Source organism: Homo sapiens, chromosome Y, assembly GCF_000001405.40.
Source record: "Homo sapiens chromosome Y, GRCh38.p14 Primary Assembly".
Taxonomy (NCBI): domain Eukaryota; kingdom Metazoa; phylum Chordata; class Mammalia; order Primates; family Hominidae; genus Homo; species Homo sapiens.
Window position 1 is genome coordinate 9,698,939 of NC_000024.10, and position 17,376 is coordinate 9,716,314.

Sequence of the window (17,376 nt, forward strand, 5' to 3'; positions counted from 1 at the left end):
GCGCAAGGCAGCTCATTCTCTCAGGTGAGCCTTAATTTTTCTTTGCTTTCATGGGGAATCCACAGTGCCCCTTAGCAGCACTACTGGACACCCTTTTTAGGCATGCCATCATCACAGATGGCCTCTGAGACACTGGTCTCAACCTTGTCTTCACCTGTGAGTGGCCAGTCCAAGGCCTGAGAGTAGGGCTCCACCTTGGACTTTCCTTTGCTGTGGCTCCTGCTTTCCCACAGAGGCTCTGCAAGGCTCAGGATGAAGGGAGGCAGTGAGGTCAAGGTCCTGGCCATCTTTCACTGACACCAGGCCCTGGGGTTTCAGGTATGATTCTATCATCCAAAGAACCATCAAAAACATACTAGACTTTATTCCAATGTCCACGGGACATAATTCTTTCACACAGCCTCTTTCAAAAAGGGAGACAGAAAAGTAGTTTCCACAGACCACCTCACAGTATTGATATTCTTCCTCCTTTGGTGGGACCTGACCACAGAGATGGCCTGAAGGGGAGCTGAGGTCAAGACTTTTAGGTTCTCATAGTGGGTTTTGCAGGCCTCCCTTTTCATGATACCAGGACAACTCTGCCTGTAGTATTTTACTTGGCTTAGGAAGGCTGACAGCTCTGACAGCTGGGTGCCCGAGCCTGATTCATGAATGCATATAAGCTGGTTTCAGGGCACCATTCCTGATTGTGAGCTCTGGCTAGCGTCACAATTAATGTCACCATTGTCTAGCAAAAAGTTCCTGCATCTTGGCAATGCAGGAGGCCTCTGTGGAAGTGCATCCACAGGGGACTCTTGCCTGTCTTTTCTGTGGATCCATGGGATAGTTCCATAATCCTGGGAGAGGGCAAGTGGGAGCCAGCCTGAAGAAATGTCAAGCACAGCCCCAGGAATAAACCACAAAATCCCTGAGCGTCCAAAAATATCAGAAGGATTATTCAGGCCTGCCTACACATTGTAGGGGTGAGTGTTTTTGAAACTTTCCCCGCTGTGATTTCTAGGTGCAGCCCACCTGTGTTCCCTGGGGTTGCTCTCTCTTAGGTGGGGCTTCCTACAGAATGACACAGCCTCTAGAGCTGCCTCACTGTGTGTTTCTGTGGGAGTGTTGCAAATGTTGGATGTCTGCGTGTGTGTGTGGCACAGCGTGTTTGTGTTGTCTGTGTGTGTGTGTGTGTTTGTGCCTGTAAGTGGAGTCTGCTTAAAGAAATGTGGCTAATCCACTTCAGCGCTACTTTTCTTGAGTCTCAACACCTTTTGGTGGACTGTTTGTTGGGTCTGCTTGGGCTGTGTTTTCTTTATTGATCTGCGGATCATGAATCCGCAGTGAATTAGAAGCTTGCCAAATCCCACCGCCATCCAAATCACCTCCCCCTGCAAAAAAAAAAAGCCACTCTTCTAGAAAGAAGAGGAGCACACTACACTGAAAAACAAACATCTTCCAGTGTTTCATTGTCCTGTAGCCAACCCAGGTAGAGACACTAGCAGTCCTGTCCGCAGAGCCCCTTGTATTTACCTTGAATTCGGTTGACAGCCTAGGAGGTGCTTCATGCTGTGAGGGGGCACTCCTCCATCGTCTTGGGACTTCATCCTGGAACATAGAGTGTGAGCAGCAATAAGGTCAGGTAGGGTGGAGGATCCAATCTGGTGAGAAGTGAATGGGTCCTGCAACTTCACCTGCAATAAAAATGAAGACAGATGACACAGAAGGTGTTTCAAACTTCATCCCCTCATTCCCTTAATTGCACAAGCAGTCCCCACCAAGGTGCAGTGTTGAAGTGGGAGGACTCCAATGTGCACAAAACATCTGGACTGCAAATTCGGGATATCCTGACAAACTGCTGATTTGAGGGCTTTCATATTCAGAGCCAAATGTGAGTGGAATGGATTGATGCTGGATAGAATGTGGGCCTCCACCTCATCGGCCTAGTGTTTCCTGTGTCTGGCTCAAGGACTTCCACATTAAACATTTCCCAGTTCATGGAGAGAGGCGCTTATGGAATCCATTGCATTAGCATTTCCTTCTAAACACTGTCACATTTTAATGACTTGGCAGCTTTGACATATTTAAAACCATGAATTCCCGTTACAGCCACTAACAAGGAAACTCTTGTTCTCCCACTTCTGTTAGGGGGCTGCTTGATTCCTGCAGGATGAGAAGCAGGCAGCCATGTCTAGCTTTTGCCTGGCAGCCTTGCCTCTGTTTTATTTTATCTGCATGGCCTCCTCAGTGTGGATGGTCTCTTTCACTGGGCTTTTGTTGGATGGGACTGCCTCTCACCACAGATTATTTAGTTGCCAGCTATTTAAGAGAGCAAAAGGGACTTCATGTAGGCTGGCTGTGCTTTAGGTTGTGGGTTGTTTTCTGGTTGTGTGGGATGAGGTGGTTTGCACTTTGCCTGAGGGTGTTGGGTCCTCTGACAGGAAGAATTGAACATTGCTTGGACTCCAGCACAAGGCAGCCAGTTCTCTCAGGTGAGCCTTGATTTTTTGTTTGTTTGTTTTCATAGGGAATCCACAATGTGCCTCAACAGCACCGCTGGACACCTTTTTTCGGCTTGCCATCACCACAGACTGCCACTGAGACCCTGTCTCAACCTCATCTGCACCCTTGAGTGGCCTGTCTGAGGTGTGAGAACACTGCTCCACCTTGGACTTGCCTCTTTTCTGGTTCCTGCCTTTCCCAAAGAGCCCTTGTAAGGCATAGAATAAAGGGAGGAAGTGAGGTCAAGATCCTGGACATCTTTTGCTGACACCCACCTCGGGGGTCTCAGATATGATTCCGTCACACAAGGTATCCTCAAAAACAAACTAGACAATATTCCAATCCCAGTGGGACCCAATTCTTGCACACTGTCTCTTTCAAGAATAGAATCAGAAGAGCAGTTTCCAGTGACCACCTCACAGTCTGGAAACATCTCCTTCTCCAGCAGAACTTGACAGTGGAGATGCACTGAAAGGGCCCTAAAGTTGAGCCTTTTATGATCCTGCGGTGGATTTTCACAGGCTACCTTTTTCCTGATACCAGGCTAGCTCTGGCTGTACCATTTTCCTCTGCTTAGGCAGGCTGACAGCTATGACTCACAGATGCCCAAGCCTGCCTCACAAAAGCGCATGTGCTAGTCTCAGGGCACCAGGCCTAATTGTGAGCTATGGCTAGTGTCACAGTGAACTTCACCATTGCCTAGCATCAAGTCCCTGCAGCTTGGCAGAGAAGGAAACCTCCATGGGGGAGCGTCGGCCGTGGACTCTCACCTGTCTTCTCTGTGGGATCCCTGAGATAGTCCCATGATCCTAGGAGGGTGTAGACATGAGCCAGCCTGAAGAAACATCAAGCACCGGCCCAGGAATAAACTGTGAAATCTGTAATGATCCAAAGGGATCTGCAGGTTTCCTCAGGCCTGCCTAGATGTTGTAGGGGTGACTCTTTTTGAAACTTGGCCCTCTCTGACTTCTTGGTGCATCCCACCTGTGTTCCCCAGGGTTGCTCTCTCCAAGGTGGGGCTTCCTGCAGAACCATGCAGCCTCAGGAACTGCCGGGATATGTGTTTCTGTGACAAAGTTGCGAGTGTTGGATGTTTGCGTGTGTGTGTGTGTGTGTGTGTGTGTGTTATTGTGGGTTTGTGTGAGTATGTGTATGTCTGTGTGTGCCTGTAAGTGGAGTGTGCTTAAAGGAATGTGGCTAATGAACTTCAGTCCTTCCTTTTTTTTTTTTTTTTTTGAGTCTCCTAACCTTTTGTTGGCCTGTCTGTGTGGTTCTGCTTGGGCTGCAGGGCTCAGTGTTCTTTATTTTTCTGTGGTTCATTAATTGAAAATGAATTGAGAGACAGGCTGGCCTCCAAATCACCTCCCCATGCAAAAAAAGGCACCCTTCTAGAAGTAAGAGGAGCACACCACACCAAAAAGACAAACCTCTCCCAGAGATTCATTGTCCTGCAGGAAACCCAGGGAGCACACTAGCAGTCTTGTCCACAGGCCTTTTGAATTTACCTCATATTCGGTTCCCAGCCAGCTAGGTGCTTCACGTCGTGAGAAGGCACCCTCCATCATCTTGGGATTTCATTGTAGGACATAGAGTGTGACAATCAATAAAGTCAGATAGGAGTGAGGATACAATCTGGTGAGGGGCAGATGCGGTCCAGCAAAAAAAAATGAAAGATGATACAGAAGGTGCTTCTAACTCCATCCCCACATTCCCTTAATTGCACAACCAGTTCACACCAATGCCCCACTGTTCAAGGGGGAGTACTCCAATGTGCAAGGAAGATTTGGAGTGCAAATTGAGGCCATCCTGGAAAACTCCTGATTTAAGGACTTTCATTGCTATAGCCAAATGAAAGTGGAATAGATTGATGCCGGCTGCAAACCAGCCTGAAGAAACATCAAGCAAAGCCCCAGGAATAAACTGTGAAATCCCTAAGGATCCAAAAAGATCTGCAAAAGACCTCAAGCCTTCTTAGACATTGTATTGGTTAGTCTTTTTTTTTCTCAGTTTTTATATTATATATTTAATTAATATTTGATATTATAAAGCACATTTATCAGTTAATTTTATTATATTCTCATGAGTCCATTACATAACTATTATTATATGAACTTTTTTTTATACTTTAAGTTTTAGGGTACATGTGCACATTATGCAGGTTAGTTACATATGTATACATGTGCCATGCTGGTGTGCTGCACCCACTAACTCGTCATCTAGCATTAGGTATATCTCCCGATGCTATCCCTCACCCCTCCCCCCACCCCACAACAGTCCCCAGAGTGTGATATTCCCCTTCCTGTGTCCATGTGATCTCATTGTTCAATTCCCACCTATGAGTGAGAATATGCGGTGTTTGGTTTTTTGTTCTTGCGATAGTTTACTGAGAATGATGATTTCCAATTTCATCCATGTCCCTACAAAGGACATGAACTCATCATTTTTTATGGCTGCATAGTATTCCATGGTGTATATGTGCCACATTTTCTTAATCCAGTCTATCATTGTTGGACATTTAGGTTGGTTCCAAGTCTTTGCTATTCTGAATAATGCCGCAATAAACATACAGGTGCATGTGTCTTGATAGCAGCATGATTTATAATCCTCTGGGTATATACCCAGTAATGGGATGGCTGGGTCAAATGGTATTTCTAGTTCTAGATCCCTGAGGAATCGCCACACTGACTTCCACAATGGTTGACCTAGTTTACAGTCCCACCAACAGTGTAAAAGTGTTCCTATTTCTCCACATCCTCTCCAGCAACTGTTGTTTCCTGACTTTTTAATGATTGCCATTCTAACGGGTGTGAGATGGTATCTCATTGTGGTTTTGATTTGCATTTCTCTGTATTGGTTAGTCTTTTTGAAACTTGTCCCACTGTGATTTCTAGATTCAGCCCACCTGTGTTCCCTAGGGATGGTCTCTTTCAGGTGGAGCTTCCTGCAGAACCATGCAGCCTCAGAAGCTGCTTGGCTGTGTGTTTCTGTGGGAGTGTTGCGAATGTTGGTGTGGCTGTGTTTGTGTGTGTGGGTGTGTGTGTGTGTGCCTGTAAGTGGAATCTGCTTAAATGAATGTGGCTATTACACTTCAGCACTACTTATTTTTGAGTCTGTCAAACTTTTGGTGGCCTGTTTGTGTGGCCCTTCTTGGTCTGTGGCATTACATGTCCTTTCTTTCTTTCTTTCTTTTTTTGTGGATCATGAATCCACAGTGAATTGGGAGATTGGCTAGACATGCCAAAATTAAATTATGTACCACTGCAAAAAACAAAGCAAAACAAAACAAAAAACTCTTCTAGAAAGAGGAATAGCAAACCACACCCTAGAACAGACATCTCCCAGTGTTTCATGTTCTGCAGCAAACCCAGGGACAGGCACTTTCAGTCCTGTCCGCAGGGCCCCTTGAATCTACCAGGAATTTGATTCCCAGCTGAACAGGTGCTTTTTGTCACAATCCTCCATTATCTTGGGATTTTGTTCTTGGACAGAGAGTACAAGCAGCAATAAGGTCAGACAGGTGTGAAGATACGATCTTGTGAGGGGTAGATAGGTTCCTGCACATTCACCTGTAAAAATGGTGAAGACAGATTACACTGTCAGAATTCAATGACTGGACATCTGTAATGTATTTAAAACCATAAATTCCCAGTACTGACACCAACAAGGAAATTCTTGTTCTCCCTCTTCTATCAGATGGCTGCATGATTCCTGTAGGATGAGAAGCATGCAGCCATGTCTGACTTTTGCCTGGTGATCTATAGTCTGTTTCATTTCGACTGCAGATCCTTTCTCATTGTGGAGAGGGTCTTTCAGCTGTTGCTGGTTGTAACTGCCACTCACCACAGATCTTTTGGCTGCCAGCGATTTTAGGGAGCAAAAGGGCCTTCAGGTAGGCTGGCTGCATTTCAAGTTGTGGATCATGGTCTCGTTGTGGAGGCTGACATTGTTTGCACTTCTCAGGAGGCTTTTGGGTATGCCGACAGGAGTCTTTGAATGTTGCTAGGACTCCAACAAAAGTCAGCTCTTTCTCTCAGGCAAGCCGTGAGTTTTTTGTGCTTTCATGGGGTGTCCCCATTGCCACCCAACAGTACTATAGGACACAATTTTCAGGCTTGCAATAGCCACAGATGACCTCTGAGACAATGTCTCAACGTCATCTGCCTCCGTGAGAGGGCATTTTGAGGTTTGAGAACTCTGATCCAACTTGGACTTGCATTTGTTGTGGTTCATGCCTTTCCCAGATAGCCCCTGGGGGGCCCAGAATGAAGAGAGGCAATGGGGACAAGGGCTTGGCCATATTTCACTGACAAACACCTATGGAGTCTCACGTATGATTCCATGATAAAAGGACCCCTCAACAACTCACCAGACTCTATTCCCATCCCTATGGGACCTGATTCTTACAAATAGCCTCTTTCGGGAATGAAGTCAGAAGAGCAGTTTTCCATGACAACCTAACAGTCTGAAAACACCTCTTCCTCCAGTGGGACCCGACCAAGGAGATGGATGGAAGGGGTGCTAAGGTTGACATATTTAGGTTCCCACAGTTGGTTATCGCAGGCAGCCTTTCTCCCGATATGAGGCTGGATCTGCCTGTACCATTTTCCTTTGCTTAGCTCTGACAGCCTAGCACCTAAGCCTGCCTCGTGAATGTGCATGTGCTAGTCTCAGGGCACCACCCCTGAGCTGTGAGCTCCAGTTAGCCTCACAATGAATAACACTTTTCCTAGTGAAAAGTCCCTGTGTCTTGGCAGAGAAGGAGACCTCCATGAAGATGCTTCACGGTAGACTCTCGCCTCTCTTCTTTGTTGAATCCTTGGGATAGTCCCATGATCCTAGGAGAGGGCAGATGTGAGCCAGCATGAAGAAGCATCAAGCAGGGCCCCAGGAATAATCTGTGAATTCCTTAACTATGCTAAAGGGTCTGCAGATGCCTCAGGCCTGCCTAGACGTTGCAGGGGGTCTTTTGAAACTTGTCCCACTGTGGTTTCTACATACAGCATGCCTGTGTTCCCCAGGATTGCTCTCTCCCAAGTGGGACTTCCTGCAGAACCACACAGCTTCAGAAGCTGCTGGGAGTGTGTTTCTGTGGGAGTGTTGCCAGTGTTGGTTGTCTGTGTTTGTGTGTGTGTGTGTGTCTGTAAGTGGAATCTGCTTTAAAAAATGTGGTTAACACACTGTAGCTCTTCTTTGTTTTTGAGTCTCCCAAACTTTTTGTGGCCTATCTGTGTGGCTCTGCTTGGGCTGCTGGGTTCTGTGTTCTTTATTTTTCTGCAGATCATGAATCTGCCATAAATTGAGAGATGGCATGAGACCCGCCATGGTCCAAATAACCTCCCCCCACAAAAACAAAACAAACAAACAAACAAAGCCACACTTCTAGAAAGAAGAGGAGCACAGGAAATTCAGGAACAGAAATCTTTCAGTGTTTTATTGTCCAGTGTACACCCCATTTAGAAACACTAGCAGTCCGGTCCACAGGGTCCCTTGAATTTACTTCATATTCAGTTGCTAGCCAAGCAGGACCTCCACACCGTGAGGGGGCACTCTTCCATCATCTTTGGATTTCATTATGGGAAAGATACTTTTAACTTCAGATAAAGCTGAGGATACAAGCTGGTGAGGGATGGATGGGGTCCCGCACATTCGCCTGCAAAAAAATGTGATGACAGATGTTACAGAAGGTGCTTCCAACTGCATCCCCACATTTCCTTAAATATACAAGCCATCCACACCATGGCCTGGTGTACATTTGGGAGCACCCCAATATGCAGGGAATGTTTGGAGTGCAAACTGGAGCCATCCTGGCAAACTCCCTATTTGAGGGCCTTTATACCAGGAGCCAAATGGGAGTGAGGCCATTTGATGTAAGGTTTGATGTGGACACCATACTTACCTCTTATTTTCCTGACATCCATGTACCTCATCAGCCTAAGGTTTCTTGGGTCTGGCTGTACATATTCCACATTAAATGTTTACCACTTAATGGAAGACGACCCTCAAGGGAATCCATTTCATGAGTGTTTTCTTCTAAATACTATTGGGTTTTAATGACTGGGCAACTTTGATTGTTTTAAAACCATAAATTTCTGTAACAGTAGCCAAGAAGGAAACTCTTCTTATCCAGCTTTTATCAGACAGCTGCTTGATACCTGTAGGAGGAGAAGCAGGCAGCTGTACCTGGCTTTTGCCTGGGAAGCTAGGCTCTGTTTCATTTCATCTGCTGGTCTTTTTTCATTGTGGAGGGCTCTTTCATTGGGCTGTTACTGGATGGTGCTACCTCTTGCCACAGACTTATTGGCTGCCAGGGATTTCAGAGAGCAAAAGGGACTTTGGGTAGACTGGCTGTGCTTTAGGTTTGGGGTCATGGTTTCCTTGTGGGGGCTGAGATTATTTGCAATTTGCAAGAGGCTTTTGGGTCTTCTGACAGAAATCTCTAAATGTTGCTTTGACTACAGCACACGACAGCTCGTTCTCTCCTGTGAGCCTTGATTTTCCTTTGCTTATATGGGGGGTCCACAGTGCCCTTTAACAGCACTACCTGACAAACTTTTCAGGATTGCAATCATCACAGATGTCCTCTGAGACACTGTCTCAACCTCATCTGCAACCGTGAGAGGCCACTTAGAGCTGTGAGAATACTGTTCCACCTTGGACTTGCCTTTGTCATGGTTCCTGCCTTTCAACAAGAGCCCCTGCGAGGCTCAGGATGGGTGGGGGCAGTGAGGTTAAGAACCTGGTCATATTTCACTGGCACCCACCTGTAGGGTCACACGTATGATGCTATCACTGAAAGAACCTTCCACAACTCACCAGACAACCTTCCAATCCCCATGAGACCTGATCTTGCACACAGCCTCTTTCAGGAAGTTCTCAACAACCCCCTCAGTCTAAACACCTCCTCCTCTAGTGGAACCGGATCACAGGTACGGCGGAAAGGGGCCCTAAGTTTGAGACTTTTAGGGTTCCACAGTGGGTTATCACATGGAGCAGCTTTTTCCCCAGTACCAGGCCGGCCCTGCCTGTACCATTTTCCTCTGACACACAGGTGCTGAGCCACCCACAAATGCACATGCGTTAGTCTCAGGGCACCGGGCCTAAGCTGTGAGCTCTGGCTAGCCTCACCATGAATGTCACAATTCCGTGAGGTTTGGCGGAGAAGGAGACCTCTGTGGAGGTGCATCAGTGGTGGACTGTCCTCTCTCTTCTCTGTGGGATCCACAGGATAGTCCCACGATCCTAGGGGAGAGCAGACAAGAGCCAGCTGGAAGATACGTCAAGCAAACCCCAGGAATAAACCGCGAAATCCGTAAGGTTCCAAAAGGATCTGAAGGGTGCCTCAGGCCTGCCTAGGTGTGCAGAGGTGAGTCTTTATGAAACTTTACCCACTGTGATTTTTAGGTGCAACCCGCCTGTGTTGCCCAGAGTTGTTATCTCCCAGGTAAGGCTTTCTGCAGAACCATGCAGCCTCAGAATCTGCCGAGCTGTGTGTTTCTGTGAAAGTATTGAGTCTTTGATGTCTGCCTATGGGTGTGGCTTTTTTGGCACTGTGTCTGCTTAAAGGAATGTGGCTAACGCACTGCAGCAACTTTTTTTTTTTTGTCTCCCAACCTTTAGTTCACCTGTCTGTGTGGCTCTGCTTGGGCTGCAGGGCTCCACGTTTTTTATTTTGCTCTGGATCATGAATCCAAAGTGTAGTGGGAGGCTGGCTGTGACACACCGAAGTCCACATCACCTCTGCCTGCAAATAAAGCTACTCTTCTAGAAAGAAGAGGAGCACACCACATCCAAGAAAGGACATCCCTCTGTATTACCTTGTTCTATGGCCATCCCCGGAGGAAACACTAGCATTCCTGTCCTCACAGCCCCTTGAATTTACCTTGAATTTGCTTCCTAGCTGAGCAGATGCTCCACGTCCTGAGAAGGAACTCCTAGATCATCTTGGGATTTCATTTAGGGAAAGAGAACATGAATAGCAATAAGGTCAGAAGGGGTAAGGATGCAATCTGGTGAGAAGTGGATGGGGTCCCACACTTCCAATTGCAAAAAATGTGAAGACAGATGACACAGAAAGTGATTCCAACTGCATCCTCACATTTCTTTAATTACACAAGTAGTTCACACTATGGCCTGGTGTTCAGGTGGGAGTACTCCAACATGCAGAGAACATTTGAAGTGCAAACTGGGGCCATCCTGGCAAACTGCAAATTTGAGGGCTTTCATACTCGGCTCCCATTGAAAGTGAGAATGATAGACACAAGGTGGGATGTGGCCTCCACACTTGCCTCTTCTTTTCCTGTCTTCCGTATTTCTTGTCAGCCTAGGGTTTCCTGGATCTGGTTCATGTATTCCACGATAAAGTTTTCCCAGTGTTTCCTTCTAAACACTGTCACGTTTTAGTGACTTGGCCCCTGTGATAATTTTGAAACCATAAATTCCTGTTACAGCCAACAACAAGGAAACTCTTGCTCTTCAACTTTTATCGGAGTGCTGCATGAGTCCTGTAGGATGAGAAGCAGGCAGCTGTGTTTGGCTTTTGCCTGGTAATCTATGCTCTGTTTCATTGCATCTGCACATCCTTTCTCATTGTGGAGGTGGTCTTTCATTGGGCTGTTGCTGGATGGGGCTGCCTCTTACAATAGATCTATGGGCTGCCAAGGATTTCAGGGAGCAAAACAGACTCTGGGTAGGTTTGGTGGCACTCCAGGTTGTGGATCAGTGTCTTGTTATGTGTTGCTTGCACTTTGCAGGAGTTTTTTGAGTTCTCTGACAGGAATTTTTGAATGTTGCTTAGACTCTAGCACAAGCCATCTTTTTCTCACACACGAGCCTTGATTTTTCTTTGCTTTCCTGGGAAGTCCACAGTGCCCCTCAACAGCACTACTGGACATCCTTTTCTGTCTTGCCATGGCCACAGATGGCCTCAGAGACACTATCTCAACCTCATCTGCACTGGTGAGAGGCCAGTTCGAGGTTTGAGAACACTGCTCCCTATTGGACCTGCCTTTGTTGTGGTTCCTGTGCTTCATAGAGAGACCCTGCGAGGTCCAGAATGATGGGAGACAGTGAGGTTAAGGGCCCAACCATCATTCATAGGCACCCAATTCTAGTTTCTCAGGTATAATTCCATCACCCAAAGACCCCTCCTCAACTCACCAGACTACATTCCAATCCCCATGGGACTGGATTCTTGCACACAGCCTCTTTCCAAAAGGGAATCAGAAGAACAGATTTCAGCGACCACCTCAGTCTCTGAATGCCTCCTACTCCTGCAGGAGCTGACCAGGGAGACGGCTTGAAGTCGCCCTAACTTCGAGCATTGTAGGGTCCCGCAGTGCATTATTGCAGGCAGCCTATTTCTGGATACCGAGCCAGCTCTATGTGTACCATTTTCTTCTGCTTCCACAGGCTAACATCTGTGAAAGCCAGGCCAGCAAGCATGCCCTCAAATGCACATGCACGCCTCAGGGCACCAGGCCTGACTATGAGCTCTGGCTAGCATCACAATGAATGTCACCATTACATAGAGATCAGTCCTGGCTGCGTGGCCAAGAAGGAGACCTCCATAGAGGTGCCTTGGTGGTGGACTCTTGCCTGTCTTCTCTGAGGGATCCACAGGATACATCCATATTCCTAGGAGAGGGCAGACATGAGCCAGCATGCAGAAATGTCAAGCAGAGCCCAAGGAATAAACTGCAAAGTCCCTAAGGCTACAAAAGTATCTGCAGGATGTCTCAGGCCTGCCTGGGAGTTGTAGGGTTGAGTCTTTCTGAAACTTTCCCAACTGTGATTTCTAGGTAGAGCGCTCTGTGTTTGCCGGGGTTGCTCTCTCCCAGGTGGGGCCTTCTGCACAAACACACAGCCTCAGATGCTGCCAGGCTCTGTTTCTGAGGGCATGTTGCAAGTGTTGGATGTCTAGGTGTGGTGTGGCTTTTTGGCTTTGTGTGTTTTAGTGTGTGTGTGTGTGCACGCGGGCCAGTAAGCGGAGTTTGTTTAAAGGGAGGTGGGTCACACACTGCAGAGCTTCTTTTATTTGAGACTTCCAACATTTTCATGCCCTGTCTGTATGGCTCTTCTGGGGCTGTAGACCTCCCTGTTCTTTATTTTTCTGAATCCACAGTGAATTGCGAGGCTGGCTGTGACACGCTGAGGTCCACATAACAAATGACTTCCAAACAAACAAACAAAAAAAGCCACTCTCTAGAAAGAAGAGCTGCAGCACACCATACCCAAGAACAGAAATCCTTCAGTGTGTCAGTGTCCTGTGGCTATCCCAGGGAGAAACACTAGCAGTCCTGTCCACAGGGCCCCATGAATTTACCTCAAATTTTGTTCATAGGTGAGCAGGTACTTCCTGTCGTCAGGGTTCACTCCTCCATCATCTTGGGATTTCATCCTGGGTCATAGAGTGTGAATGGCAATAAGGTCAGATAGGGGTGAGGATACAACCTGATGAGGGGTGGATGGGGACCTGCACCTTCACCTGCAAAAATGTAAAGACAGGTGACACAAAAGGTGCTTCAAACAGCATTCCCACATTTCCTTAATTGCAGAAGCAGTCCACAACTTGGCCTGGTGTTTAGTTGGGAGTACTCCAACGTGCAGGGAATATTTGAAGTGCAAACTGGGGCCACCCTGGCCAACTCCTATCCTGACTTACATGTGCCTCATAATCCTAAGGATGATTGGGTATGGCTCAATGTCTTCTACACTAAATGTTTCCCAGTTCATGGAAGGTGACCCTTGGGGGGAATCCATTGAGTAAGTGTTTCCTTCTAAACACTTACTGCCCTGTCATGTTTCAATGACAGGGCAGCTGCGATGCGGTAATTCTAAAACAGTAACTTCCTGTTACTGCTGCCAACAAGGAAACTCCTGTTCTCCAAGTTTTATTGAAGGGCTGCATGATTCCTGTAGGATGAGAAGCAGGCAGCTGTGTCTGGATTCCACCTGGTAATATGGTCTGTGTTTCATTTTATGTGCACATCCTTTCTCATTGTGTAGGGGGTCTTTAATGTGCTGTTGGTGGATAGGGCTGCCTCTCATCACAAATTTATTGGCTGACAGGGATATCATGGAGCACAAGGGACTTCAGGTAGGCTAGCCACATCCCAGGTTCTGGGTCTTGTTCTCATTATGTGGGATGAGGATGTTTGCACTTTGCAGGAGGCTTTAGGGTTCTCTGACAGGAATCTTTGAACTTTGCTTGAACTCCAGCAAAAGGCAGCTGGTTCTCTCATGTGATCTTTGATTTTCCTTGCTTTCATGGGGGGTCAACAGTGACACTCACTACCGGACACCCTTTTCAGGTTTGCAATCGCCACAGACAGCCTCTGAGACACTGTCTCAACCTCATCTGTACCTGTGAGAGGCCAGTTCTAGGTGTGGTTCCTGCTTACCCGAGAGAGATCCTGTGAGGTCCAGGATGAAGTGAGGCACTGCGGTTAAGGGCCTGGTCGTCTTTCATTGACACTCATCTCTGGGGTCTCAGGTATGATTCTATCATTCAAAGACCCCTAAACAACCCACCAGACTACATTCCAATCCCCATGGGACCCAATTCTTGCACACAGCCCATTTTGGGAATGGAGTCAGAAGAGCAGTTTTTCATGACCAACTCAGTCCAGAAATGCATCCTCCTCCTGTGGGACCATTAAAGATGGCCCTAGGTGCCCTAAGGATGAGACTTTTAGGGTCCCAGAGTGGGTTATCACAGGCAGCATTTTCCTGGATACCTTTCGGCTCTGCATGTATCATTTTCCTCTGCTTAGGCAGGCTGACAGCTCTAACAGCAGGGCTTGCTGTTAGAGCTGTCATGCTGTAGAGCACATGCTGTAGAGCATGCACTACTCTTGGGACACCAAGCCTGATTGTGAGCTCTAACTAGCACCACAATGAATTTCACCATTGCCTAGTGAAAATTCCTGCATCTTGGCAAAGAAGGAGACTTCTGTGGAGGTGCATCAGTCATGAACTCTCACCTGTCTTCTCTGTGTTATCCACAGGATTGTCCCATGAGAGTAGGAGAGGGCATACATAAGCCAGCCTGTAGTAACGTCAAGAAGGGTCCCAGGACTAAACCACAATATCTCTAATGATCCAAAAACATCTGCAACATTTCTCAGATATGCCTAGATATTGTAGAGGTGAGTCTTTTTGAGACTTGCCCCATTGTGATTTCTAGGTACAGCCTGCCTGTGTTCCTCAAGGTTGCTCTGGCCCAGGTGGAGATACCTGCAGAACCACGCAGCCTCAGGAGCTGCTGGCCTGTGTGTTTCTGTGGCAGTGTTGCAAATGTTGGATGTCTCTGTGTGTGTGTGGCATTGTGTATTTCTGTGTGTGTTTGTAAGTGTGTGTGTGAGAGCCTGTAAATGTAGTCTGCTTAAAGCAATGTGGCTAAAAAACTTCAGTGTTTTTTTTTTTGAGCCTCCCATCATTTTGGTGGCCTGTCTGTGTCTCTGCTTAGCCTGCAAAGCTTTGTGTGCTTTGTTTTTCTGTGAATTATGAATCTCACATGAATTGGGAGGTGGGCCAAATCCCGCTGGCATCCAAATCACCTCCCCCTGCAGAAAAATCTACATTTCTAGAAAGAAGATGAGCACACCACAACAAAAAAACCAGACATTTTTCACTGTTTTATTTTCCTGCAGCAAATACAGGGGGAGACACTAGCAGTCCTCTCCACAGGGCCACTTGAACTTACACTGAATTTGGTTCCAAGCCCAGCAGGTGCTTCACATAATGAGGGGGCACTCCTCCATCATGTTGGGATTTTATCCTGGGACCTAGAGTGTGAGTAGCAATAAGGTCAGATACAGGTGAGTATACAATCTGGTGAAAGGTGGTTGGGGCCCTGTAACTACACCTGCAATAAAAATAAAGACAGTGTTTAAAGCACGTGTTTCCAACTTCATCCCCTCATTCCCTTAATTGCACAAGCAGTATACACAATGGCATGGTGTTCAGGTGGGAATACTACAACGGGCAACGGACATTTGGGGTGCAAATTGGGGCCATCCTGGCAAACTCCCGATTTGAGGGCTTTCATATTCGGAGACCAATGCAATGGAATGAATTGATTCTGGGTGGGATGTGGCCTCCACAGTTTCTTCTTTTTCTGACTTCTATGTTCCTCATCCACCTAGAGTTTCCTGTGACTGGTTCAACAACTTCCACACTTAAGCTTTCCCAGTTCACAGAGAATGATCTTCATGGGACTCCATTGCCTGAGTGTTTCCTTCTAAACAGTGTCATGTTTTAATAACTGGGAAGCTTGATATTTTAAAACTGAAAATTCCCATTACCACTGCCAACAAAGAAACTCTTTTTCTCCCACTTCTATCGAATGGCTGCATAATACCTATAGGATGAGAATCCATGTCTGGCCTTTGCCTGGTAATCTAGCTTCTGTTTCATTTCATCTGCACAGCCTTTTCATTGTGGAGGAGCTCATTCACTGGGCTGTTTCTCGATGTGACTTCCTCTTGCCACAGATTATTTAGCTGCCACGGATTTCAGAGGGCAAAAGGGACTTTGGGCAGGCTCCTGCCATCCAGGTTGTGGGTGGTTGCCTTATTGAGGGGCTAAGATTGCACTTTGCAGGAGAGTTTTCAGTTATCTGACAGGAATCACTGAACATTGCCTGGACTCCAGCACAAGGCAGCTCATTCTGTTAAGAAATGTCTTGATTTTTCTTTGCTTTCATGGGTATTTCACAGTGAATATTGACAGCACTAATATTCACCTTTTTCAGGCTTGCCATAACCACAGATGGCCTCGGAGACATTGTCTTAGCCTCATCTGCACCCATTGGAGGCCAGTCCAATGCGTGAGGACACTGCTCCTCCTTGTACTTGCCTTGTCATGGTAACTGCCTTTCCCAGAGATCCCCTGTTAGTCCCAAGATGAAGGGAGGCAGTGAGGTCAAGAACTCGGCCATCTTTTGCTGATACACACCTCTGGGGTTGGTCTCAGGTAAGATTCTATCACTCAAATAATCCTCAACCACACACCAGACTATATTGCAATCCCCATGTGACCTGATTCTTGTACACATATTCTCTTTTGGGAATGCAGTCAGAAAAGCTGTTTCCAGTGACCACTTCACAGTCTCAAAATGCCTTCTTCTCTAACAAAAACTGACCATGGAGACATCCCGAAGGGGCCCTGATATCAAGACTTTTAGGGTCCTGCAGTGGGTTTTTGCAGTCACGACTTTTTCTGATACCAAGCTCGCTCTGCCTGTACTATTTTTCTCTGCTTAGGCAGACTGATAGCTCTGACAAATGGGCACCGGAGCCTGTTTCACAAATGTGCATGCGCTAGACTCAGGGCACCAGGACTGATTGTGAGACCTTGCTAGCATCACAATGACTGTGACTGTTGCATACTGAGAAGTCCCTGAGGCTTGGCAGAGACGGAGACTTTCGTGGAGGTGCGTTAGCATTGAACTCTTGCCTGTGTTCTGGGTCTGGCTCAACAACTTCCACAACAAATATTTTCCTGTTCATGGAGAACGACCCTCACGAGAATCCATTGCTTGAGTGTTTTCTTCTAACCACTGTCACGTTTTAATGACTATGAAGCTCTGAGATTGTTAAAACTGTAAATTCCCATTACAGCCACCAATAAGAAAACTCTTGTTCTCCCATTTCTATCGAGGTGCTGCATAATTCCTGCAGGATGAAAAGCAGGCAGCCGTGTTTGTCTTTTTCCTTGTAATCTAGCCTCTGTTTCATTTCATCTGCATGGCATTCTTCTTGTGGAGGGTCTCTTTCATTGGGTTGTTGCTAGATGAGACTGCTTCTGGCTAGGGATTATTTAGCTGCCAGGGATTTCAGAGAGCAAAAGGGACATTGGGTACTCTGACTACACTCCCTATCATTGTCTTGTTGT

General features: G+C 46.8%; 1 long non-coding RNA gene across 1 annotated transcript; it reads right to left on the bottom strand.

Annotated features, from left to right (window-relative positions):
* Positions 1-7,885: 7,885 nt before the first annotated feature.
* Positions 7,886-16,324, bottom strand: TTTY7B (testis expressed transcript, Y-linked 7B). Its single transcript, NR_003592.1, has 6 exons — positions 16,288-16,324; positions 15,185-15,346; positions 12,803-12,877; positions 11,638-12,114; positions 9,607-9,720; positions 7,886-8,131 (listed from the first exon to the last, which is right to left on the bottom strand). It is a non-coding gene; the product is annotated as a testis expressed transcript, Y-linked 7B (long non-coding RNA).
* Between the last annotated feature and the right edge of the window lie 1,052 nt (positions 16,325-17,376).